This window comes from Homo sapiens, chromosome 18 (assembly GCF_000001405.40).
Source record: "Homo sapiens chromosome 18, GRCh38.p14 Primary Assembly".
In the NCBI taxonomy this organism is placed as follows: Eukaryota; Metazoa; Chordata; class Mammalia; order Primates; family Hominidae; genus Homo; species Homo sapiens.
The window spans coordinates 59248436-59275113 of NC_000018.10; the positions used below are offsets into that span (position 1 = coordinate 59248436).

Consider the following 26678-nt stretch of genomic DNA (forward strand, 5'->3'; position numbering starts at 1 on the left):
CACATCTCTACTAAAAATACAGCAAGTTAGCCTGTCATGGCGGTGCACACTTGTAATCCCAGTTACTCGGGAGGCTGAGGCATAAGAATCGCTTGAACCCAGCAGGTGCAGGTTGCAGTGAGCTGAGATCAGGCACTCCAGCCTGGGTGACAGAGCTAGACTCTGTCTCTGAGAAGAAAGAAAGAAAGAAAGAAAGAAAGAAAGAAAGAAAGAAAGAAAGAAAGAAAGAAAGAAAGAAAGAAGGAAGGAAGGAAAGAAAGAGAAAGAAAGAAAGAGAAAGAAGGAAGGAAGGAAGGAAAGAAAGAAAGAGAAAGAAAGAGAGAAGGAAAGAAAGAAAGAAAGAGAAAGAGAAGGAAAGAAAAAGAAAAAGGCAGAAAAGAAAGAGAGAGAAAGAGAGAAAGGAAGGTAGGAAGAAAAAGAGAGAAAGAGAAAGAAAGAAAGAGAAGGAAGGAAGGAAGGAAGATTCTACTCTTAGTTGAATTTTTTAAAAAATGATTAGATTTGAATTAAGAACTGCCCTACTGTAGAGCTCATTTTATTGAAGAAAAAAAAGTAAATATTTGTTCATGAGAGTCTCAAAGGTGCAGTCAATCACACTTTGAATAAATTAACTTAAAACCAATTTCTTCCTGATGAGAATTATGGAGCAGCATGAAAACATGGAAGCATAAGCTTTCTTAGCCTCCTGATTTTTCTTAAGGTGGCTTTACTGATATAAAAAGCCCCATGGTTGAGTTGACTTCGCCTGAGTGGGAATGTGAGTGGAAAAGGAGGAGCTTTTCATTTAAGGGGGAGCGTAAAGTTCAAGACTGGGGGTACTCAGAAGGGAAGGTCATTTTCTGGCTGAAACCCTTATTGCTGATGATTGCAAGAGGGAGTGAGACATTCTACTAGAAGCGTCTACTGCACACTCAGCAGTTGAAGTTCTCAAGATAGCCATCAGATGGCAGCCTCAGCCAAATTTCTGAAGTAAATTTGCTCTCCGGATCAGAATTTTGCAGCTGGGAGATATTACAGATCCTATAGTCCAGCCCCTTTATTTCCCAGCCAAGGAACTCTAGCCAGAGTGAAGTCAAGTCTTGCTTAAAGCCACATATCAAGTCAGTAGCAGAACTAGGGTTCTTACTATCTCCCAACAAGGAATCCAATAATCTCCCTATGATCGTGATCTGAAAGAAGCGTTCCCTCACCCCAAAAAGAAACAAAGTAGGGTATAGAAAAAATAAAAAGAGCCTTCTGAGTGCTCAGACAGCTGTTTGAGGTTGAGTACAAAGTCTTACAGGCTAAAACTTGAGCCTTGAGCAGATTTTTGGTCAACTGTCAGGCAGTCAAGTTAACTGAGGACCCATTTGCTCTCCAAAAAAAAAAAAAAAAAACGGGTGTGTAGGAGGAGATGGGAGAGGTAGGAAGGGGTGGGTCAGGGATAGAAGAAAACCAAGGAGAGGTCGGCCGCAGTCACGCACGCCTGTAATCCCAGCACTATGGGAGGCCGAGGCGGGCGGATCAATTAAGGTCAGGAGTTCGAGACCAGCCTGGCCAACATGGTGAAAGCCCAACTCTACTAAAACACAAAAAAAATTACCAGGCGTGATGGCGGGCACCTGTAATCCCAGCTACTCAGGAGGCTGCAGTGAGCGAAGATCGCGCTACTGCACTACAGCCTGGACGACAGAGCGAGATTTCCTCTCTCAAATACAAACAAACAAAACAACAACAACAATAACAAAAGCAAAGAGAGACCCCTGGAGGAGATGAGCTTTGATTGAAGAATAGAAAGCTGCAATGAGGCCGGACGCGGTGGCTCACGACCGTAATCCCAGTACTTTGGGAGGCCGAGGCGGGCAGATCACGAGGTCAGGAGATCGAGACCATCCTGGCTAACACAGTGAAACCCTGTCTCTACTAAAAATACAAAAAACTAGCTGGGCATGGTGGCGGGCGCCTGTAGTCCCAGCTACTCGGGAGGTTGAGGCAGGAGAATGGCGTGAACCTGGGAGGTGGAACTTGCAGTGAGCGGAGATTGCGCCACTGCACTCCAGCCTGGGCGACAGAGCGAGACTCCGTCTCAAAAAAAAAAAAAAAAAAAAAAAAAAGAAAAGAAAGATGATGCAATGAAAAGAGAAAAAGCATCCTGCAGAGGAAACATAGTGTGTGCCCAGATAAAGAAGGAAAAACAAACCCGGCATTTCAGCAGAGCTGACCTCTGCAAGTGAAAAGTAAGCCAAGCTTCCCTTGAGGCCAAGCTTGTCTCTTCTCACACTTGCTCCTCACAGGAGCTCCAGCCTCAGCCCCACCATTCACTGAACTCTCAGTGACCAAAAAGCGTCTCTAGCCAGTCTTTGACATTAGAGTTCTTTTAAGTAATTATTCTCTTTCCCAACAGAGCTGGCATTTTAGGCTTGTCTCTAATTTTGGATAAAAAGGCATTGTCCACATCAAGCAATAGTATAGAGGTCAATAGTATGAACTTCAACGCTGTGAAGGTCAGCTGTTTAGAGCAGAGGATCTCTGTTACTAAGAAGACAAATGGAAAACAAGATGGATGAGTGAGTCTTGTGGATGAGCCTTGAAGGTAGAAAAGGCAATGAGGCTTGAAATTGCAGAATTTTGTGGATGTATTTGTCACTGCACTTAGGCCAGTGGACACGCAATATCTGTTAGCTAATCAATGCATCTTTATTGATTCTAAATAGGCTGAACTGGTAAGGGAGCAACATGATGAAAATGGTATTTAGGAAAAGTTTTCCAATGTGAGTACCTGCCTGCAATGTGTGTAAACAGCAAGAGCCTGGTGGGAAGACTAGTTTTGTCTCGTTTTTAACAGCTTTATTGAGATATAATTTACATACCCACGATTCACCCAAAGTGCACCATCCAATGGCTTTCAGTGTGTTCACAGATATGTGCAACCATCACCGCAGTCCATTTTGGAACACTTTAATCACTTCAAGAAGAAACTTCATACTTTGTACTTCCTATCCCCTCTGTGTCCCCATGTCCCTGTATCCCATCATGAAGCAACCACAAATCTTTCTGTTTCTATAGATTTCCCTATTCTGGACTTTCATATGAATTTCCATTCATATAGTATATGGTTTTTGGTGACTGGCTCCTTTCATTTAACAAAATGTTTTCAAAGTCTACACATGTTGTAGCATGTATCAGTACTCATTCCTTTTCATGGCAGAATAATATTCCGTCATATGGATACACCACATTTTATCAGGTCATGTGCTGATGAACATTGAGTTGTTCCCATCTTTTGGCTATTGTGAATAATGCTATTATAAACATTCATGTGCAAGTTTCTGTATGGTCATACAGTTTTCATTTCTCTTGGGTGTATCTTACCTGGGAGTGGAGTTGCTGGGTCATGTGGTAATTCTGTGTTACTCATTGGAAGAACTGCCAGAATGTTTTCCAAGGTGGCTGGCCCATTTTATATTACCATCAACAGTATATGAGGGTTCCAATTTTCCACATTCTCACCAACACTTCTTGCTACCTGACTTTTTAATTCTAGCCATCCTAATGCATGTGACATGGTATCTCACTGTTGTTTTGTTTTGCATTTCTCTGGTGACTAATTATGTCAAGTATTTTTTTCATGTGCTTATTGGTCATTTATAGATCTTCTTTGAGAAATATCTCTACAGGTCCTTTGCCCATTATAAAATCGGGTTACTGATCTTTTTATTATTGAGTTGCAAGTGTTATTTATATGTGCTAGAAATGAGTTCCTTATCTGATATATGATTTGCAAATACTTTCATCCATTCTGTGGGTTGTCTTTTCACTTTGTTTATGGTGTCCTCTGAAGCACACATGTGTGAAATTTCAATGAAATGATTTTATCAATTTTTTCTTTTGTTGCTTTTTTTTGTATCATATTTAAGACTTTTTTGCCATAATCCATGATCATGAAAAAATTTACCCCTATGTCTTCTTCTAAGAGTTTTATAGTTTTTACTCTTACATTTAGGTAGTTGATCTATTTTGAGTTAATTTTTGTATGTGATGTGAGGTAAGGGTCCAGCTTCATTCTTTTCATGTGTATATCCAGTTGTTCCAATTGAAAAGACCATTGTTTCCTCACTGAATGGCACTGGCACCCTTTTTGAAAATCAATTGGCCACAGATGTTTGGGCTTACGTATGGATTCTATTCTTTCAATTGATCTATATGACAGTTCTTACACCAGTATCACACTATCTTGATTACTATTGCTTTGTAGTAAGTTTTGAAATCAGGCACTGTGAATCCTCTTGATTCTTTTTCAGAATTATTTTTAGCTATGCTGGGTTCCTTAAAATTCCACATAGAATTTAGAATCAGCTCATCAATTTGTACAGGGAAGTCAGCTGGGATTCTAATAGGGATCATGTTGAACCTGCAGATCAGTTTAGGACTATCAATCTCCTAACCATGTTGTCTTCTGATCCTTGCACATGGGATGTTTGTCTATTTATTTAGATCTTTTACTTCTTTCAACAAAGTTTTGTAGTTCACAGTGTTAAGTTTTGAACTTTTTGTTAAATGTATTCCTATTCTCTTCTTTTTGGTGTTATTGTGGTTGGAATTGTTTCCCTTATTTCGTTTTGGATTGCTCATTGCAATTACATAGAAATGCAATTCAATTTTGGATATTGATCTTGTATCCTGTAACCTAGCTGAACTCATTTATTTGTTCTAAAGTTCAAAGCCTCAAAGTGAAAAAGTACATGGTGGCCCAGTGAAAATCACAGTGCACTGATGTCATTTGAACAGAGAGTGAGGAGAGAAAGAAGGTAGAGTATGAATGCCAGTCACAAGCCTGGAAAGATAGATGAGGTCAAATTCAGGAGAAGCTCACATGTCATACTCAGGAGCTTCGCTCTTCTTCCATAGGCCGTAAGAAATTGTTTTTAAGCAGCGGAATTGTTTGAGACAACTAATTCTGACCACAGTGGGAAAGACAGATTGAAAGGATTGAGGAATAAGGAGAACAATATGGAGGCTGTATTTTTATAGCTCCAAAGCTTAGCAAAAGAAAGAGAGCCAGGCTCTTTGGAAGCAATAGACCAAAGAAGTTCTTTGAAAATAAAATTTAGGCCAGGCGCAGTGGCTCATGCCTGTAATCCCAGCACTTTGGGAAGCCGAGGCAGGCAAATCACATGAGGTCAAGAGTTCTAGACCAGCCTGGCCAACATGGTGAAACCTCATCTCTACTAAAAATACAAAAAATAGCCAGGTGTGGTGTCGCGTGCCTGTAATCCCAGCTACTCAGGAGGCCGAGGCAGCAGAATTGCTTGAACTCGGGAAATGGAGGTTGCAGTGAGCCGAGATCACACCACTGCACTCTAGTCTGGGTGACAGAGTGAGATTCCATCTGAGAGAGAGAGAGAGAGGTGGGGTGGGGGGCTCAATTAATTAATAAAGAAATACCATAAAATTGGCCTAGATGCAGGAAGTGCCACCATAACAGAAGCACTGCATGCCACGGGAGGCCATGCAGCATGAGTGAGATGATAAAGCCCCCAAATGGGAAACTGGCAGGGAGAGGAAAAGCAGAGGTAGGTGAATACAAGACATTCTGAAGTAAAATCAATGGGGCTAAGTACTTGACTGCGTTTAAGGGTTGAAAGAAAGGACTTGGATTTAGGTATGGTTGATAGTGACCCTAAAAATTAGGATCAAAACAGAGCCTGGGTAGTAGTCCAGAGCTAGTATGGTGCTCCACAGTGTCATGAACCTGGATCTGGATCTCTCTCTTTTTTTTTTTTTTTGACAGTCTTGCTCTGTCGCCTAGGCTGGAGTGCAGTGGCGCCATCTCGGCTCACTGCAACCTTGCAACCTCTGCCTCCTGGGTTTAAGCAATTCTCCTGCCTCAGCCTCCCGAGTAGCTGGGATTACAGGCATGCACCACTACGCCCGGCTAATTTTTGTATTTTTAGTAGAGATGGGGTTTCACAGTGTCGACCAGGCTGATCTTAAACTCCTGACCTCAGGTGATCCATTCACCTTGGCCTCCCAAAGTGCTAGGATTACAGGTATGAGCCACCGTGCCCAGCCTATCTCTTCTTCTTCTTCTTCTTCTTTTTTTTTTTGAGACAGAGCCTCATTCTGTCGCCTAGGCTAGAATGCAGTGGTGCAACTTCTGCCTCCCAGGTTCAAGCGATTCTCCTGCCTCAGCCTTCCAAGTAGCTGGGATTACAGGCGTCCTCCACCACACCTGGCTAATTTTTGTGTTTTTAGTAGAGATGGGATTTCACCATCTTGGCCAGGCTAGTCTCAAACTCCTGACCTCAAGTGGTCTGCCCACTTCGGCCTCCCAAATTGCTGGGATTACAGGCGTGAGCCACTGCACCCAGCCAGGGACCTGGATCTCTTCTATGCTGTTGCTCAACATCCTCACTGTGTGGCTTCATGGCATGGGCCAAGATGGCTGCCCCAGCACCTGCATCACACCTGCCTCAGAGCCAACAGACTGCAGTTGGGGGGTGGGGGCAAAAGAAGGGTTTCTCCCTCTCCCCCTCCCCGTCCCACTCCCCCTCCGCCTCCCGCTCCCCCTCCCACTCCCGCTCCCTCTTTGCATGGTCTCCCTCTGATGCTGAGCCAAGGCTGGACTGTACTGCCGCCATCTCGACTCACTGCAACCTCCCTGCCTGATTCTCCTGCCTCAGCCTGCCGAGTGCCTGGGATTGCAGGCGCGCGCCGCCACGCCTGACTGGTTTTCGTATTTTTTGGTGGAGAGGGGGTTACGCCGTGTTGGCCGGGCTGGTCTCCAGCTCCTGACCGCGAGTGATCTGCCAGCCTCTGCCTCCTGAGGTGCCGGGATTGCAGACTGAGTCTCGCTCACTCAGTGCTCAATGTTGCCCAGGCTGGAGTGCAGGGGGCATGATCTCGGCTCGCTACAACCTCCACCTCCCAGCCGCCTGCCTTGGCCTCCCAAAGTGCCGAGATTGCAGCCTCTGCCCGGCTGCCACCCCATCTAGGAAGTGAGGAGCGTCTCTGCCTGGCCACCCATCATCTGGGATGTGAGGAGCCCCTCTGCCCAGCCACCCAGTCTGGGAAGTGAGGAGCGCCTCTTCCCGGCCATCATCCCGTCTAGGAAGTGAGGAGCGTCTCTGCCCGGCTGCCCATCGTCTGGGATGTGGGGAGTGCCTCTGCCCCGCTGCCCCGTCTGAGACGTGAAGAGCGCCTCTACCCGGCCGCGACCCCGTCTGGGAACTGAGGAGTGTCTCTGCCCCGCTGCCACCCCGTCTGGGAGGTGAGGAGCATCCCTGACCGGCCGCCCCATCTGAGAAGTGAGGAGCCCCTCCGCCTGGCAGCCGCCTGTCTGGGAAGTGAGGAGCGTCTCCGCCCAGCAGCCGCCCGGTGGGGGAGGTGGGGGGCAGCCCCCGCCCGGCCAGCTGCCCCGTCCGGGAGGTGGGGGGCAGCCCCCGCCTGGCCAGCTGCCCCGTCTGGGAAGGGAGGAGCCCCTCTGCCCGGCCGCCACCCCGTCTGGGAGGTGTACCCAACAGCTCATTGAGAACGGGCCATGATGATGATGGCGGTTTTGTCCAATAGAAAAGGGGGAAATGTGGGGAAAAGAAAGAGAGATCAGATTGTTACTGTGTCTGTGTAGAAAGAAGTAGACATAGGAGACTCCATTTTGTTCTGTACTAAGAAAAATTCTTCTGCCTTGGGATGCTGTTAATCTATAACCTTACCCCAACCCCCTGCTCTCTGAAACATCTGCTGTGTCCACTAAGGGTTAAATGGATTAAGGGCAGTGCAAGATGTGCTTTGTTAAACAGATGCTTGAAGGCAGCGTACTCCTTAAGAGTCATCACCACTCCCTAATCTCAAGTACCCAGGGACACAAACACTGCGGAAGGCGGCAGGGCCCTCTGCCTAGGAAAACCAGAGACCTTTGTTCACATGTTTATCTGCTGACCTTCCCTCCACTATTGTCCTATGACCCTGCCAAATCCCCCTCTCCGAGAAACACCCAAGAATGATCAATAAATACTAAAAAAAATTAAAAAAGGAAGGGTTTTCCCTTACATAACATAGGTCATTATTTAATCACATCTAATGAAAAGGGAGTCTGGGAGATGTCTTTATTCAAGACATCCAAGTGATCAGCTAAAATTTGGAAGATATATGGCTGAGAAATAAGGTAGAAAGGAAATTGGGATATAACTTTCCTCCAGGGGTTAAGAATTACTCTAAAAAAAGAATTATTCTCAGGTGGATCCAAGATGGCAGAATAGGAACAGCTCCAGTCTACAGCTCCCAGCTTGAGTGACCCAGAAGACGAATGATTTCTGCATTTCCAACTGAGGTACCAGGTTCATCTCACTGGGGATTGTCAGACAGTGGGTGCAGGACAGTGGGTGCAGCACACCAAGCATGAGCTAAAGCAAGGCGAGGCATCGCCTCACCCAAGAAGCGCAAGGGCCCAGGGAATTCCCTTTCCTAGCCAAGGAAAGGGTGACAGACGGCACCTGGAAAATCAGGTCACTCCCACCCTAATACTGCGCTTTTCTGACAGTCTTAGCAAATGGCACACCAGGAGATTATATCCCGTGCCTGGCTTGGAGGGTCCTATGCCCACAGAGCCTCGCTCATTGCTAGCACAGCAGTCTGAGATCAAACTGCAAGGCAGCAGCGAGGCTGGGGGAGGGGCGCCCGCCATTGCTGAGGCTTGAGTAGATAAACAAAGCAGCCGGGAAGCTGGAACTGGGCGGAGCCCACCGCAGCTCAAGGAGGTCTGCCTGCCTCTGTAGACTCCACCTCTGAGAGCAGGGAATAGCCAAACAAAAGGCAGCAGAAACCTCTGCAGACTTAACTGTCCCTGTCTGACAGCTTGGAAGACAGTAGTGGTTCTCCCAGCACGCAGCTTGAGATCTGAGAATGGACAGACTGCCTCCTCAAGTGGGTCCCTGACCCCTGAGTAGCCTAACTGGGAGGCATCCCCCAGTAGGGGCAGACTGACACCTCACACAGCCGGGTACTCCCCTGAGACAAAACTTTCAGAGGAACGATCAGGCAGCAACATTTGCTGTTCACCAATATTCACTGTTCTGCAGCCTCTGCTGCTGATACCCAAGCAAACAGGGTCTGGAGTGGACTTCCAGCAAACTCCAAAAGACCTGCAGCTGAGGGTCCTGACTGTCAGAAGCAAAACTAACAAACAGAAAGGACATCCACGCCAAAACCCCACCTGTACGTCACCATCATCAAAGACCAAAGGTAGATAAAACCACAAAGATGGGGAAAAAACAGAGCAGAAAAACTGAAAATTCTAAAAATCAGAGCACCTCTCCTCCTCCAAAGGAACACAACTCCTCACCAGCAACGGAACAAACCTGGACGGAGAATGACTTTGATGACTTGAGAGAAGAAGGCTTCAGACGATCAAACTACTCCGAGCTAAAGGAGGAAGTTTGAACCCATGGCAAAGAAGTTAAAAACCTTGAAAAAAGATTAGACAAATGGCTAACTAAAATAACCAATGCAGAGAAGTCCTTAAAGGACCTGATGGAGGTGAAAACCACGGCATGAGAACTACATGACGAATGCACAAGCCTCAGTAGCCGATTTGATCAACTGGAAGAAAGGGTATCAGTGATGGAAGATCAAATGAATGAAATGAAGCAAGAAGAGAAGTTTAGAGAAAAAAGAATAAAAAGAAATGAACAAAGCCTCCAAGAAATATGGGACTATGTGAAAAGACCAAATCTACGTCTGATTGGTGTACCTGAAAGTGATGGGGAGAATGGAACCAAGTTGGGAAACACTCTGTAGGATATTATCCAGGAGAACTTCCCCAATCTAGTAAGGCAGGCCAACATTCAAATTCAGGAAATACAGAGAACACCACAAAGATACTCCTCGAGAAGAGCAACTCCAAGACACATAATTGTCAGATTCACCAAAGTTGAAATGAAGGAAAAAATGTTAAGGGCAGCCAGAGAGAAAGGTCGGGCTACCCACAAAGGGAAGCCCATCAGAATAACAGCTGATCTCTCGGCAGAAACTCTACAAGCCAGAAGAGAATGGGGGCCAATATTCGACATTCTTAAAGAAAAGAATTTTCAACCCAGAATTTCATATCCAGCCAAACTAAGCTTCATAAGTGAAGGAGAAGTAAAATACTTTACAGACAAGCAAATGCTGAGTGATTTTGTCACCACCAGGCCTGCCCTGACAGAGCTCCTGAAGGAAGCACTAAACATGGAAAGGAACAACCGGTACCAGCCACCGCAAAAACATGCCAAATTTTAAAGACCGTCAAGGCTAGGAAGAAACTGCATCAATTAACAAGCAAAATAACCAGCTAACATCCTAATGACAGGATCAAATTCACACATAACAATATTAACCTTAAATGTAAATGGGCTAAATGCCCCAATTAAAAGACACAAACTGGCAAATTGGATAAAGAGTCAAGACCCATCAATGTGCTGTATTCAGGAAACCCATCTCACATGCAAAGACACACATAGGCTCAAAGTAAAGGGATGGAGGAAGATCTACCAAGCAAATGGAAAACAAAAAAAGGCAGGGGTTGCAATCCTAGTCTCCGATAAAACAGACTTTAAACCAACAAAGATCAAAAGAGACAAAGAAGGCCATTACATAATGGTAAAGGGATCAATTCAACAAGAAGAGCTAACTATCCTAAATATATATGCACCCAATACAGGAGCACCCAGATTCATAAAGCAAGCCCTTCGAGACCTACAAAGAGACTTAGACTCCCACACAATAATAATGGGAGACCTTAACACCCCACTGTCAAAATTAGACCAGTGAGACAGAAAGTTAACAACAATATCCAGGAATTGAACTCAGCTTTGCACCAAGTGGACCTAATAGACATCTACAGAACTCTCCACCCCAAATCAACAGAATATACATTCTTTTCAGCACCACACCACACCTATTCCAAAATTGACCACAGAGTTGGAAGTAAAGCACTCCTCAGCAAATGTAAAAGAACAGAAATGATAACAAACTGTCTCTCGGACCACAGTGCAATCAAACTAGAACTCAGGATTAAGAAACTCACTCAAAACCGCTCAACTACATGGAAACTGAACAACCTGCTTCTGAATGACTACTGGGTACATAACGAAATGAAGGTAGAAATAAAGATTCTTTGAAATCGATGAGAACAAAGACACAACATACCAGAATTTCTGGGACACATTTAAAGCAGTGTGTAGAGGGAAATTTATGGCACTGAATGCCCGCAAGAGAAAGCAGGAAAGATCTAAAATTGACACCCTAACATCACAATTAAAAGAACTAGAGAAGCAAGAGCAAACACATTCAAAAGCTAGCAGAAGGCAAGAAATAACTAAGATCAGAGCAGAACTGAAGGAGATAGAGACACAAAAAACCCTTCAAAAAATCAATAAATCCAGGAGCCGTTTTTTTGAAAAGATCAACAAAATTGATAGATGGCTAGCAAGACTAATAAAGAAGAAAAGTGAGAAGAATCAAATAGATGCAATAAAACATGATAAAGGGGATATCACCACTGATACCACAGAAATACAAACTACCATCAGAGAATAATATAAACACCTCTACGCAAATAAACTAGAAAATCTGGAAGAAATGGATAAATTCCTCGACACATACACTCTCCCAAGACTAAACCAGGAAGAAGTTGAATCTCTGAATAGACCAATAACAGGCTCTGAAATTGAGGCAATAATTAATAGCCTACCAACCAAAAAAAGTCCAAGACCAGATGGATTCACAGCTGAATTCTAACGGAGGTACAAGGAGGAGCTGTTACCATTCCTTCTGAAACTATTCCAATCAATAGAAAAAGAGGGAATCCTCCCTAACTCATTTTATGAGGCCAGTATCATCCTGATACCAAAGCCTGGCAGAGACACAACAAAAAAAGAGAATTTTAGACCAACATCCCTGATGAACATTGACGCAAAAATCCTCAATAAAATACTGGCAAACCGAATCCAGCAGCACATCAAAAAGCTTATCCACCATGATCAAGTGGGCTTCATCCCTGGGATGCAAGGCTGGCTCAACATACGCAAATCAATAAATGTAATCCAGCATATAAACAGAACCCACGACAGAAACCATATGATTATCTCAATAGGTGCAGAAAAGGTGTTTGACAAAATTCAACAGCCCTTCATGCTAAAAACTCTCAATAAATTTGGTATTGATGGGACGTATCTCAAAATAATAAGAGCTATTTATGACAAACCCACAGCCAATTTCATACCGAATGGGCAAAAACTGGAAGCATTCCCTTTGAAAACTGGCACAAGACAAGGATGCCCTCTCTCATCACTCCTATTCAACATAGTGTTGGAAGTTCTGGCTAGGGCAATCAGGCAGGAGAAAGAAATAAAGAGTATTCAATTAGGAAAAGAGGAAGTCAAATTGTCCCTGTTTGCAGATGACATGATTGTATATCTAGAAAACCCCATCGTCTCAGCCCAAAATCTCCTCAAGCTGATAGGCAACTTCAACAAAGTGCCAGGATATGAAATCAATGTGCAAAAATCACAAGCATTCTTATACACCAGTAACAGACAAACAGCCAGATCATGAGTGAACTCCCATTCACAGTTGTTTCAAAGAGAATAAAATACCTAGGAATCCAACTTACAAGGGATGTGAAGGACCTCTTCAAGGAGAACTACAAACCACTGCTCAAGGAAATAAAAGAGGATACAAACAAATGGAAGAACATTCCATGCTCATGGGTAGGAAGAATCAATATCGTGAAAATGGCCATACTGCCCAAGGTAATTTATAGATTCAATGCCATCCCCATCAAGCTACCAATGACTTTCTTACAGAATTGGAAAAAACTACTTTAAAGTTCACATGGAACCAAAAAAGAGCCCACATTGCCAAGTCAATCCTAAGCCAAAAGAACAAAGCTGGAGGCATCACGCTACCTGACTTCAAACTATACTACAAGGCTACAGTAACCAAAACAGCATAGTACTGGTACCAAAAAAAGATATAGACAATGGAACAGAACAGAGCCCACAGAAATAATGCCACATATCTACAACTATCTGATCTTTGACAAACCTGACAAAAACAAGAAATGGGGAAAGGATTCCCTATTTAATAAATGGTGCTGGGAAAACTGGCTAGTCATATGTAGAAAGCTGAAATTGGATCCCTTCCTTACACCTTATACAAAAATTAATTCAAGATGGATTAAAGATTTAAACGTTAGACCTAAAACCATAAAAACCCTAGAAGAAAACCTAGGAAATACCATTCAGGACATAGGTGTGGGCAAGGACTTCATGTGTAAAACAACAAAAGCAATGGCAACAAAAGCCAAAATTGACAAATGGGATCTAATTAAACTAAAGAGCTTCTGCACAGCAAAAGAAACTACCATCAGAGTGAACAGGCAACCTACAGAATGGGAGAAAATTTTTGCAATCTACTCATCTGACAAAGGGCTAATATCCAGAATCTACAATGAACTCAAACAAATTTACAAGAAAAAAACAACCCCATCAACAAGTGGGCGAAGGATGTGAACAGACACTTCTCAAAAGAAGACATTTATGCCACCAAAAGACACATGAAAAAATGCTCATCATCACTGGCCATCAGAGAAATGCAAATCAAAACCACAATGAGATACCATCTTACACCAGTTGCAATGGCGATCATTAAAAAGTCAGGGAACAACAGGTGCTGGAGAGGATGTGGAGAAATAGGAACACTTTGACACTGTTGGTGGGACTGTAAACTAGTTCAACCATTGTGGAAGTCAGTGTGGCGATTCCTCAGGGATCTAGAACTAGAAATACTATTTGACCCAGCCATCCCATTACTGGGTATATACCCAAATGATTATAAATCATGCTGCTATAAAGACACCTGCACATGTATGTTTATTGCGGCACTATTCACAATAGCAAAGACTTGGAACCAACCCAAATGTCCAACAATGGTAGACTGGATTAAGAAAATGTGGCACATATACACCATGGAATACTATGCAGCCATGAAAAATGATGAGTTCATGTCCTTTGTAGGGACATGGATGAAGCTGGAAACCATCATTCTCAGCAAACTATCGCAAGGCCAAAAAACCAATCACTGCATGTTCTCACTCATAGGTGGGAATTGAACAATGAGAACACTTGGACACAGGAAGGGGAACATCACACACTGGGGCCTGTTTTGGGGTGGGAGGAGGGGGGAAAGATAGCATTAGGAGATATACCTAATGTTAAATGACGAGTTGATGGGTGCAGCACACCAACATGGCACATGTATACATTTGTAACTTACCTGCACGTTGTGCACATGTACCCTAGAACTTAAAGTATAATAAAAAAAGAGAGAATTATTCTCATCGTATCCATTAGATGCACATAAATGCTGAAAGAGGAACAAGGATTTTATGGAGCTTTTAGGAGCCTACAGAGCAAAAAATAAGATTTTATGTGAATGCATTTGTTTTGGGATAGCTTCTGGGATGTTCAGGTGGAGGAAACCAGTAGGCATTTGGAAATTTATGTACAGTTGGGTCCTTATTTCCCCTCCTTAGGCCATGCTCCTTGAGTGTTAGGACTTTATCATTACATGCCCACCATGGTGTGTGTGTGTGTGTGTGTGTGTGTGTGTGTGTGTGTGTGTGTGTGTGTGTGTTTTACGACAGAGTCTTGCTCTGTCTCCCAGGCTGGAGTGCAGTGGCACGATCTCGGCTCACTGCAACCTCCATTTCCCTGGTTCAAGAGATTCTTCTGCCTCAGCCTCCCGAGTAGCTGGGATTACGGTGCCCGCCACCATGCCCGGCTAGGCCCACCATGTTTTGTAACGGTCTGCAGATTAGATAAAGACAGCAGGAAATGAAGATGGTACAGGAAAGAACACAACTAGAACCTCATTTTAAAAAAATATCTCTAGAGAGACTGCAGAATCCAGCCACTGTTAGGATTGGAAAAAACATTTTGCAGACAACTTTGGACAGGAAGATATTCTTGTATACAATTCATTCAGAATCCACTAACATAAACACACACACTTATACTAAGCACAGAGCAGAGGAAAGCTGCTTCTCAAATGAGCTGTCACATTTTAGGTGTCTGTGGTGAAGTAATGAGGGAGCAGAGATCTTAGAGACCTAGTGCTCCAGTGAAGTTTGTTGACAGTACTCTGTTTAAGGTCCCAGGAACAAGCAATGTCACAGTCACGACTGGGCCACAGATCTCCTGACTCCCAGGCAAAGGAGCTGCCACTGCACCTGCCATTAAAAAGCCGACGGCTCAGGGTGCTGGGGAACCCTGCAGTTTCCGTGTCCGCCAGGGCTGGGGGAGGTGTGGTCAAGGATCTAGATGATTTAATCCAGTTTACCAAAGGGGTTTTATAGTGAGCAATTAAGGCGTGGTAAAGGCATTAATCACTAATGAGTCATTAACTCTGCCCACTATTGTACAGTTAACAAGCGGAGGCCAGATTATTAGAGCTGGTCCCCAATAAAAGGGACGACAAGGTCACAGAGAGCACCATCCGCCTCCACAAGGGTCGGGTGCGTCCGTCTGGCGCTGCGGGGTCTCGCCTTTACCAGGAGGGCAAGAAGGCACCAAGGGGGAGTGCGGAGCTCTGGCTACCTGAGCGAAGAGGAAGTGCAGCTGTTAATTACTTTAATTGTATTTTGTAATAAATTAATTTTTAATTTTATCTTCCCTGACAGTCTTTCCCTGCCCACCTCCTGGAGGCTTGGATTCCATTCATGTAATAAGATTCTGCTGGTGAAAAGGAGCTCTTGGAATGTAGGCTGGAGAAGCGGACTGGGCAAGGCTGGGAGTGGGGCTGGGAGCCTGGGGTGAGGGGCGGAGCTGGATGGGATGGATGATGGGGACAGCATCTCATCAAATGCTGAAGCCGCCAAGGCTCTCGGGTCCGCACCCAGGGTGCCCTCACCGTACGCCGACCGTGTGGGGAACACGCTCTCTGGAAGCTGAGTTGGGGGTCCTGGTCTCTCTTGCCGCCCCCTGCCCCCAGCTTCCTGCGCGTGGGCTCCAGCGGTCTCCGCAAAGACTTTCAGCTAGCCTGTGAATTTGGACTAGAGAGGGAGCAATTGGCATTCCCTCTACCGTCACCAGATTCTAGATTAACTGGGGCGGGGTGGGGAACAGGCAGGGATTGTCTCCACTAGTTTGACAATTCCCATTCCCCAAACACTGAATATGTATTTAGGGTAAATAAATTTAGCAGGGTGGTCCCAGTTTAGTTGGTGACCTCTGGTCAAAGCCCGCCCCTCTTGGGGGTTCTCTTCCAGTCCCTCCACCCCATCCCACCCTGACCAGCCCGGATCACCCTCCTGAGCAGCGCAGGTGGGGGCTCGGACCGGCAGGGGACAGAACCGTGTTCGGAACTAGGAAATCCACTAGGGATACACAGCCTGGACCGGTCCAGGGCCGCAGTGCCTAACCCCAGGACACCGAGCGAGGGCGCCTCCGCGGTCCTACGGGAACCTCAGGACACTGAGCGAGGGCGCCTCCGCCATCCTACAGCTGTTCTCTTAACGTCGAGCCTCTGGAGCCCAGCAATCCAGAGAGGCCGAGCCCTCAGTCCCCTGCGTCCGTGCAGGAAAGAAATTGGGCTGCGAGCATCGCCAACAGAAGCCGGGAGCCGTGGCGCGCATTATGGACACGCCGCCCTCGCGCGCAGAGACTGCTCCAGAAAGGGAAAAACGCAAAACTTAAAACGCGGTGGCTCACGCCTGTAATCCCAACACTTTGGGAGTTCGAGGCGGGAGGGTCGCTGAAGGTCAGAAGTTGGAGGCCAGCCTGGCACACATAGTGAGACCCTCGTCTCTACAAAAAAAGTAAAAACAAAAAACATTAGCCGGGCTTGGTGGCGCACGCCTGTGGTCCCAGCTACTCGAGAGGCTGAAGCAGAAGCATCGTTTGAGGCTGAGAGGTCAAGGCTGCAGTGAGCTATGATTGCGCCACTGCACTCCAGCCTCAGCGCCAGAGCGACACCCTGTCTCTAACAAAACAAAACAAAAACTGCCGTGGGGCTGGCTGATGGTGGCCACGGGGTCGCGGGGGAGGTCCGCTCCCGGCAGGCTCCAGCTCTCTGGGTCAGCGGAGGTACCCCGAGGCTCAAAGAGCGGTCAGCTCCCCACCTCCCCAAAAGTGCCTGACTCCGCCCTTCTCTCGGCGCGGTCCAATTCGCGGCGTCCTTCCCCTCCCCGCCTTCGCTATCTGAGAGCCCCGCCCAGGCCCCGCCCAACCTGGTTCGCAAGAGCAGAAGAGGATCCCGGTCTACAGACCCGCTTGCTTTCCTCCTAGGGCGGGTCAGAGCAGACGTCGTCGGGGTTTGGGAAGGAAGCATCTCCAGACCTCTTGAATTGACTGAAGCCAATAGAGGCTTGCCCTAGGTCTGTGCTTGGAGCAGCACGGTGCCTTTTCTTCTGGAACCTCGTAAGACCCATGTGGTTCTTGTTTTCCTTCTGTGGGCACTGGTAGCATCACCTGAGCCAAATTTGCAGCCTCATTAGAGAAGATTCAAGAACCATTGCATGTGATTCTTGGGAAAGTGATGCAGGCTTCCCTCGGGGTCCCTGAAAGCCTCATGCCCGTCCTAGACCGAGCCAACAGTCTAGTTTTGGAAGCTTGTGACTCAACTTCGGCCGGCGCCTCTCTGCAAAGCGTTTTCTCTAGCCATGGGCTTGAGCAGAGGGGCCCCAAGTGTTTCAGGGCCATCGGGGTTTTAATGCTCTTTATCACAAGCTGCTCACCTCCAGCCAGAGTTAAGTACTGGATTCCCGTCCCATCTGCACCCCTACTCCTAGAGCTGGCAGTGAATCTCCCACCCTCAGAGCTGCCCTGCGGGGCTTGGGGACGGGGGAACCCTGGGGCAGATGATGTGTGAAGATCTCTCCAGGAGGCTCAGGAAAGCACAGCTAGTGCCCAACGCTCAGGATCTCAGTTCCCAATATGGCCTAATGAGCTGTCGTAGAATTGATATAAGGAGCACTTATCAGCAATGTTTTCCCAACACGCACTATGATGGACACTTTTGGTTATTTCAGCCCCAGCACTTAGAAACAATGTAAACTGGGACAACCTCTCCATGCCTCAGTCTCCTCATTTATAAAATGGGGCTAATTGTATCTTCCTGGTAGGATTGTGGTGAGGCTTAACTGAGCCACTAGATGGAAACCTCTCAGAAGAGTGCTGGCACATAGTAAGCCTTCAATAATTATTAGCTATTTATATTTTCGTGATCATTTTCCAAGGGCTTGTCTCTGAAATGATGCCTGGAGAGATGGTTTAGAAGAAAATCTATTCTCATCTGAAACTAAACAGTAGAAGAGGAAGGGGAAGTAGCAGAAAAACTCATAAGGAAAGAATTGAAAAACAGCACAGAGGAGAAGAAATGGATAATCTTGGCAATGATCTAAGGGAAGTGAAGAAGATGCTGACGGTGGCATGCTCAAGGTCACAGGTGCCCAAGACTGCGGTAAGAAGGAGGACAGGGCACGTGTGGTACTCACTTGGAGCCCATGAAGTTGGAAGTTCTGTAAATAAATCATCCCTAGGGAATGAAAGAATGAAACAAATGATAGGCCAAACACACATTCATTCTGGTTTTGTTTTGTTTTGTTTTCTTGCTAAAAGGTGATAACACACGGGCTGCTCCATCCTCCTCCCCCAAGGAGACATCCTTGTGAGGAAAAGTGCAGATATTACTCCCTACCTCTTGGGGGGGAATAATTTATTCAGTACATTTTTACTGATCAGCCTACTGTGTGCAAGGCACCATCTGGAGGTCTAGGGGTACACAGCCCTGGTTATGCAATAGCCTCTTAGACCCGCAGAGAAAGGACTGGAAACTATGATGAGGCTTCCCATATTCCCAGCTCCAGCGTGGTCATCCTTTTCCCAAGTCGGTTTCAGGAACCGGAGAACAGCCAGGGAATTTCGGGGAAATGGGGACGATGATTACAATCCATATTGCGTCATGCCAGGGTCTTGGTACTTTCCACAAAGCCTTTACAGGTGATCTTATTCCATCTTTCCCACCTTCCAGAGAGACAGAGTTTATTTAGACGAGGAAAGGGGACTGGGAGCTTCACTAATTTGCTCAGGACCGACAGACAGTAGCCAGTTGATGCTAATTAAGGCTCTGGGGGCATCATCCTGAAAGCACGCTTAGGGACGGGGGTTGTGGGGTGGACGCCCCCCCCCCCCCCGTGCCAGGACCTGTTGGCGGGCATCCAGGTTCTGCTGGCGGTCGCCCAGCTTCCAGTGTCAACGGTGGATATCGAGCACGCTCAGGCGGGAGTCCGGGACTCTCCTTCTTCAGAGAGTCTCAGGAGATTGTGAAGCGGGCTGAGATTTCGAGATTCCTTCCTCGCCCTAGAGCCGGCGCCAAAGAACTGCAGATACTGTCCAGGGCACGCCCGCAAGAACTAGCTCTCGGGGCGGTGGCGTAGGGCGCTCCAGGACACTCTCCGAGCGCGGCACCTCACCAGACGCGCCTTTTACCGAACTCTGGGTTGGCGAGTGTGGAGCGAGTTGGGGAGGTTAGAGAGTCTCGCGGCTCCGAAAAGGAAAAGCATCTCTTTGCCTCAGTTCTTGTACCGCTGGTGATCAACCTTGGGTGTTAGGGACTGGCACCGAACCGGAGATCTGCTTGGTGAACTGAGAGGAGTCCTTAGGAGAGCGGGGACGCCAGGGGCCGGGGGACACTTCGCTCTCGCCCTAGGGAAGGTGGTCTTGACGCTTTCTATTGAAGTCAAACTTGAAAATATCAGCTGCCGCTGGACTATGGGGCTAGCGGGGGAACTGGGAGCGCGCTAGCATCTGAGCCTTAGCCCCATCCACTCCGGACCCCAAGCGCGCACGCCGGCTCCAGGGAAGGGCGCCTCTGGTCTAGGCCGCCGAAGCGTTCGGAATGGGGACGATTCTCTGCTGCAGCGAAGTGTCCCTAGAATTTTCACAAGGAAACCCTGAGCTTCTTCTCAGTCCTCCTCTTTCCCTGACCCACCCTGTCCGTCAACGCACCCTCCTCCCGTACCCCAATATTCACTCCTCTCCCCAAGTCCTGAGCGTGCTTAAACAGAGTCGAAACAAAACAAGCATGTCTTTAATTCTCCTCTCAAATAGTTTGAAACTACTTATACAAAAGTTTCTCAAACTCTATTTTTCCGCCTCCCCTGCTTCCCTGTTATGGTTATCTGGGGGTCTCCAAGCCTCCTGGGAATGGCCAAGTTTAGGAGCTTCAGCCTGTTTGGGCCTGGAGGCTCCAGCGCCTGCGGTGATGGGAGCGGCGTGGCCAGCGGGGCCCGGCAGCCTGTTGCCCTCCAGCTGCAGGGCTGAGGTCCGCGAAGTGCGTTGAGGCGGCCAGAGGGCCTCTCCTCAGGCCTGAAAGTCGCCCTTCTCCCCGTGCATCGGGAGCAGGCGCGTGGCCCTGAACTATGCTTGGCGGGTGGCTGCAGGCGACAGGGAAAGAGGGGCCGAGCTGGGGAGGGGGGTTGTCCCTGGGAGAGAGGATGCGGGTACGGTGCGGTCGGCCCGGGGTCGGATCCCAAGACGTTCCCCAGTGCCCCTAGAGGGCCTGCCACGGCTTCCCGATGGCCTGGATGTGCTCCTTGGCTTTCAGACGCAGCGCCGCGATGCTGCTGTTGCGCGGGTCCGCCTCGTCCAGCGGGAACTTGTCCCCGAAGCCGGGCCCGCACGGGTAGGAGGGCGGCGGCGGCGCGAGAGGTTGCAGGCCGGGGCCCAACGGCGGGGAGTTCAGGAAGGGCGGAGGCGGCGGCGGTGGCGTGTAGCTGGCAGGCAGGCTCTGCGCCGGCGGCCCGAAGCCCGGCAGGCTCTGCAGCGCCGTGGCGCCCCCGCCCGGCAGCGGCGGCCCGAGCCAGGACTCCAGCGGCAGCGCGCCCCCAGCCGGCCCGCCACCGCTGCCCGGGCCCGCCCCGAGGGGCGACAGCGTCGCGGAGGGCGGGGAGCGGCTGAAGGAGAGGAGGGGCGAGTCCTGCAGCTTCATGGAGGACACTTCCAGCTTCTCCTGCCGCCGCCACTTAGCCCGTCGGTTCTGGAACCACACCTGCAGGAGAGAGCACAGGGGCCGTCGGGCAGCAGCGGAGGCTGCGGCCGCGTCCCCAACCCTGAGCCGGTTCAGCTCGGCGGGCTCCACTCCGTCCCCCTCAAATAAAACTAGGGGCGCAACTGTTATGCATGTGCCGAGAGAGGCCCGGATCTTCCTTCCTTCCACCCACTCCTACTCCTCCCACCCCGCGTTCTCTTTTCTTTTCCATCCCCTTTCTCTCTCTCTCTCTCTCTCTTTTTTTTTTTTTTTTGGCCTCTTCTCTCCATTATCGCCTCTTCTGAGTCTCTTTGTCCCATCCTAGTCCTCCGTGGCGTCCCACCCTTTTCTCTGTTTATCCATAGCTGTGGTTGTATCTGTTTCCAACTCCTAGTGCGTAGCAGAAGCTCAGAAAAAAAAAGTGAATTTAACTCCGCAATCGAATCGTAGAACTTTGAAACGAGATCTCACCAATTTTCTGTGACCTTCTGGTTGGCAGCCCCTCCTAACAGTTTAGACTTGCTTGTTCTCTGTATGGTACAGATCTAAGTTGCTGTATTTTGGTCTCAGACTTTCTCTGCTTTACCTACCCTTTGTCTCTAAATACAGGTATAAATAAATATTGTTAAGTAGAGTAATTGGCAAGAATGGGCGTTAAAATTCAGCTCTTTTCACGGATTACTGGTTATGATAACTAGATAGGAGCAAGTGGGGTTTATTTTGCCCCAACCATATTTGAATTGCTGCTTTAATATTTTTATTTTTATTTAATTAATGTCTGCTTACTATTTCTGCTGTTTGTTATTACTTTCAAGGAGTACAATCATTCCAGTCTATTATATCTACTTTTACATTACAAAGTTAATTTTGACATTACCCTAAGACCTTAGCTCAATGACAAGGTTTTTTGCTTCTTCTTCTTTATCTGTACGAAGTCCTTGCCAAGAGTAACGTCGGGTTCTTCCAATGAAACTTCATTACTGATTTGATAAAAGTGCTGGAATATGTGTAATTACATTTTTACTACCAGTTCCACCTTCACAGGCAAGACAGAGAATCCGTTTAGTAGAGAACACAAAAGAATTTCAGCCAAACTGGTGGCTTTAGTGCTATATTTATGAAGGGAAATGGGGAGATTGTTGCAACCTCAGAAGGGAGAAAGTAGTTTTCAGTCAATAAGGGCAGGGGACCCCCGAGGAGAGCTGAAAGAACAGCAATCCAGCACCCAAGCACCGCAGGGCAAGTGTGTGAGAGGCTGCAATTAGGGAGAAAAAGAGAAACAACAAAAGTGTAAGTACCCTGTACCATCCTAGAAAAGATTCATCTGCATATCTAAGGCCTCAAGTCTCCCTTAAATATTAGATACTTGCCAACAGTAGAGAAAAGAAACACTGATTTGGGTGAGGGCTCCTGTCCCACCACCTTCTCGGCTTCCCTGTCTGTCCCACTCAATTCCCTACCACATCAGCTGTAGCCTTCAGATCTAGTGTCCCAGGTTATAGACTGAAGGATTGAGGTCGGTTATTGCAATGCTCTACTGCTGCCCTCGGTGTGGGAGATCCTGCCTAGTATCTCTACCATCTGATTACATCATAGTCATGTGTTAAGAATGGCCATATGCTGGGTGCTGTGCTGGCCCTGTGGTCACAAAGAAGTCACAGACACTGTTCTCAAGAATCTCACAACTTAGAGGAGAAGCCAAAACTCCTGAACAAGTAATGAGGGAGGATGCAGGTGGGCTCAAGTGCCCAGGGAGCTGAGTCTGCTTTGCTTGGATTCTGTAGGGTACTGGAAGGCTTTGCCTCTACTCTTTCTCTTGTATTCATTCCCTCTCCCATCCTTCTTTTTTTGAAAGCAGGTGATAAAATTTCCACCCCTTCAGTGAAATCACTGCAGCTTTACTGCCCCAAATTAGGAGACATTGAACTGTCCTTGCTGGTTAATCCCAAGTCACATTAGGGAATTATATTTTTTAAGCCATGACTTTTACTCATTACTTTCAACTCTTAAACTAAGCAGAAAAGAAAAAGCAGCAGCTTGTCCTCTTTTACTTTTAAGACATGGATAAAAGCTCCGAACACTTGAGTGTTCTCATTTCCTGGAAATCTAATTTATTAGACACACACAAAAATCCCATCTTAGTTCCACTGCCTTTCAGATGCAGTGAAATTTGTTCCCAATGTCTCTCTTTCAGCCCTCTGTAAACTCTCCCAATTTGGAAATCCTCCCAGATTTTTCACAGATGACTAGCAAATATTTAAGGCTTTCAAATATTTTAATGATCAGGGATTAAAGATAATTCAGCTTTAATTAAAGCGAAAACCCCTTTACAATAAAAAGAAAAGGCCTTTGCAGCGAGAAGTTTGGTTGGATGTGCACCAGAAAAGGAAAAGTCAGTTTCTTAAATAAATCCACCCGAAGTTTCAACTGCGAGGTGCCAGGCCCTTCGCAAGGAAACAGGGTTTTCGTTTCCAACTCGGTATTCGCAGCTAGTGACGAGGGTGGCATTTGGGGCCCCAATCCTGTCACCCTCGATCACTACCTGCATTCCATTTCCACTCAGCAACCCCCAACCCCTTCCTGGCTATGTCTAATGAGCTGTCGGCCTCTTCATCTTGCAAGTCATTCCCATCTTCTATTTTGAGTTTAGAAGAGGGAAACCCCCAAAGGGGAGCTCGTACTACAAACTGGAACAGACTGCTTGAAGGGCGATGCACAGGGAACATCGAAGATCTGTGCCTCTCCCTTGAGACTCTGGGCATGCCAAGTCGAGGAAGGACAGTAATAAATGCATGGACACCCGTGAATTCCGAGAAGCATTGGCTGCAATTTGGGCCTCGGGCCCTCCCAGATCCCAGTTCCTCAACCTGGGCGCTTTACCTGGACCCGGACCTCTGGTAGGTTGACCTTGCCGGCCAGCTCCTCGCGGCTGTACACGTCCGGGTAGTGGGACTTCTCGAACGCGCGCTCCAGCTCATGCAGCTGGTACGTGGTGAAAGTCGTGCGGTTCCGCCGATGCTTTTTCTTGGGCTGTTCCTCCTCTGACAGTTTCGCTTCGCCGGTGGCTGGCCCGACGGGCAGCCCTGGGCTCGGCCGTGCCTCCCCGGGCTCCTTGGGGCAGTAGGGTCGAGGGGCTGGGGCGACGAGGCCCGGGAGGGTCAGATGCACTCCCCAAAACACCCTTGGGCCGACCCCGCCTCGCTGTGGGCACTGGCCAGCCCGCCTGCGGGCTCCGAGATGGCCCGGGGAGGTCCGTGGTGAGGGCGGCGATGGGTCCTAAGCTTTCTCTGAATGCAAATTGGAAGCTCCCGCCATAGACGGTCCCCAACCCCGCGCCCAGTTGCCTTAATAAAAGTTAAGGAAGGGGCGCTCTCGTCTGGCCAACTCCTAAGCTCGGGCGCCCGAACGGCCTCGCACAGCCAGGGGTGCGCACTCACCTTCGTACTCGGGGGCGGGCGCCGGGGCTGGCGGCGGGGAGGGCTCGGAGCCTTCCTCGGGCGCCTTGGGGCAGGCGGGCCGCGCGCCCAGCCTCCTATCCCGCTCCTTCGCGCCCCGGGCGCCCCGCTCCGCCGGGAAGGTGCCGAGGATCCCGTCGTCCTTGGTAAACCCCAGGATGGCCTCGATGCTGTGAAGTCGCGAGGTGCTCCCGCCCGGGCTGCGGAGCAGGTGGCCGGCAAGCGAGAAGCTCCCGTCGGCCATGGCTGGCGCGCAGCCCGGCAGGTGCATGGGGAGCGCCGGGAGGCGGGAGGGCGCTTTGGAGACGGAGAGGAGAGGCTCGAAGCCGGGTCTTCCCGAGTGCGGCGGTGCAACCCGACGGGTCCCGACCCTAGGTCAAGCTCCGCGGGCGAAGCCCGCCCGGGCTGCGCACGCTGGGGGTGGCCGAGCGCTCAGCCCGCTGCCGCCTTAGTCCCAGAAGTCGGAAGTTCGGGCTCGGGGTAGCTGGGGCTCTCGGCGCTAAAGGCGGGGAGCCAACTGGCCCTCGGCTCCTCCCCTCTCGCCCTGGACCCAGCCCCTTCTCTCGGCCCCTCCCTCCACAGAGGGGCGTGTCCTCACCCGGCCCAGCCACAGGGTCCTCTAGTGGCCACCCCTGGGCCGGCACTAGGAATATTCCCCTTCCACCTCTTGATCCGTTTTAAGCTTTACAAACACACTCCGGGGATCCGCGGCGGGATGCCTGATGGGCTCGGGAACCTGGTCGCGGCGCACCCCTAGTCCTGCCTCAGTGGGGCCGACGCCCTTGGGCTCATCTCTCCCCTTGCGTTTGTCTCCCTCTACTTCGGGCTTACCCTCTCACTTCAGACTACCCCCTGGGGGTCACCTCCCTCCTTGGACGCACCCCTCCCCAGCTTCAGACTCGCCCCTCTAGCCCCCTCTGGCTCACCTCCGCGGGGCCGCCACCCTGGCCTGTGCCCCCTGGAAGCGCCGAGACCCAGCCGAAGGCTTCCCAGCCCCGCACTCGTCGCAGTTTGAATTTCCCCTCGCTGGCTCCCTTTTCGGGACCCACTCCTTTCTTGGCTGGGTTGTACGAAGTCCCGGACCTCGCGTTTAGTTTGTCCGTCTATATCTGTTGTAACTCCTCCCAGTCCCCTCGGACTTGAGCGCCGGCAGCCTCCCTCCTTCCCCGCAGCGCCCACCCCAGGGCCATTTATGTCCGCAAGTCCGGTGACCTCTAGCGCCCGATCGCCCAGCAGGAGACTGGGAGCCCCGAGTCGGATGTGCTGCCGGGCTCAGGTCCCGCAGGAGACCCACCTGGAGTTCCTCGCTCCCGCCCCTTGTCCTGCGGGGAGGGCGGGCTCCTTTACTGATGAGCAGCGGTGTCGCACTCCCGCCTCCCTCCAACACTCCGGGCCAAGGAGATGGCCCAGAGCTGGCTGGGGAAGGACCTTCTCCCGGGGAAGAGGCCTCTCGCCTCCCCGAGGGTTCAGGAGTAATTGGCTTGCAGTTCTTTCTCCTTTGGACCCCCTCGAGGCTTCCGTGGCCCACAGTGACTGATCGGCCACTTGGAAAGATGATTGGATAGGGTGAGTGTGTTTCACCTCCAGCAGCGCGGATGGACAATGGCGCTGTGAACGTCTCACCCCTCAAATCTGAGGCGAGACCCGAGGCGAGCGCTTGGCCTTCCCTGAACTGGTGGCCTGAACCGTGAATTAAAATGCTTTCCTATAAAAGCTCAAGGACCTAGAGGACAATATCCCTAAAATCTCCTTTTCAGTAGGCGCTCTGATCTCCACAGCAGGGGTGTCTTCTTTATCCCGCTTGCGTTCAGACAAGCGTTTGCTGCGTCCCTTTAGAGGGCAAGGCAACCGTCGAGGGCCACGTCGTGGGCATCAAACAAATTGGGAAAGGCCAGGGCCGTTGGCCTGGTGGAGTTTAACGTCCAGTCTGGAAGACAAGACAAAGGAAGAGGGAAAACACACATCCTCAGATCCCCAACCTTTAAATTGGTGTTAGAAGGATGTTTGCGGAGGACAAGTCAATTTCTTAAGGATCATTCAATGGTTAATTCCCCATGATGGGCATATCTACTTTTAATAAAACTATATAATGGCAAACTAAAATAAGGGCAAGCATGTGACTGCAGGAGATAGAAATTGAACTAATTCAAGTCAGAAATTATCTTTTAAGAAAAAAGC

At 48.8% G+C, this 26678-nt stretch overlaps 1 protein-coding gene across 1 annotated transcript, besides 3 other annotated features; it reads right to left on the reverse strand.

The window, feature by feature from the left end:
• Positions 18603–25019, reverse strand: RAX (retina and anterior neural fold homeobox). Its single transcript, NM_013435.3, has 3 exons — positions 24483–25019; positions 23926–24179; positions 18603–21066 (listed from the first exon to the last, which is right to left on the reverse strand). The coding sequence occupies exons 1-3, from the start codon at positions 24769–24771 to the stop codon at positions 20569–20571; spliced, it is 1041 nt and encodes a 346-aa protein (NP_038463.2). The 5' UTR covers positions 24772–25019; the 3' UTR covers positions 18603–20568.
• Positions 20344–20854: an enhancer, noted in NCBI's record as "H3K27ac-H3K4me1 hESC enhancer chr18:56936011-56936521 (GRCh37/hg19 assembly coordinates)". NCBI's record gives its function as "activates a minimal SCP1, AML or CMV promoter by ChIP-STARR-seq in naive H9 embryonic stem cells {active_cell/tissue: H9 hESC(naive)}" and the evidence as "EXISTENCE:reporter gene assay evidence [ECO:0000049][PMID:30033119]".
• Positions 20639–20849: a silencer, noted in NCBI's record as "fragment chr18:56936306-56936516 (GRCh37/hg19 assembly coordinates)". NCBI's record gives its function as "represses an EF-1alpha promoter that drives an FKBP-Casp9 reporter gene in an ReSE screen in phorbol 12-myristate 13-acetate-treated (for megakaryocytic differentiation) K562 erythroleukemia cells {active_cell/tissue: K562(+PMA)}" and the evidence as "EXISTENCE:reporter gene assay evidence [ECO:0000049][PMID:32094911]".
• Positions 20815–20974: a silencer, noted in NCBI's record as "silent region_9492". NCBI's record gives its function as "represses an Ori minimal core promoter by ATAC-STARR-seq in GM12878 lymphoblastoid cells {active_cell/tissue: GM12878}" and the evidence as "EXISTENCE:reporter gene assay evidence [ECO:0000049][PMID:35858748]".

Bases quoted from the DNA above. Each gene is read 5' to 3' on its own strand.
- RAX (NM_013435.3), bottom strand. From the start codon at position 24,771: ATGCACCTGCCGGGCTGCGCGCCAGCCATGGCCGACGGGAGCTTCTCG. The intron at 24,180-24,482 runs GTGAGTGCGCAC...TCGTCGCCCCAG, and splicing joins GCCCGCCCCCGAGTACGAAG to CCCCTCGACCCTACTGCCCC. The intron at 21,067-23,925 runs GTAAAGCGCCCA...TCTCTCCTGCAG, and splicing joins TACCAGAGGTCCGGGTCCAG to GTGTGGTTCCAGAACCGACG.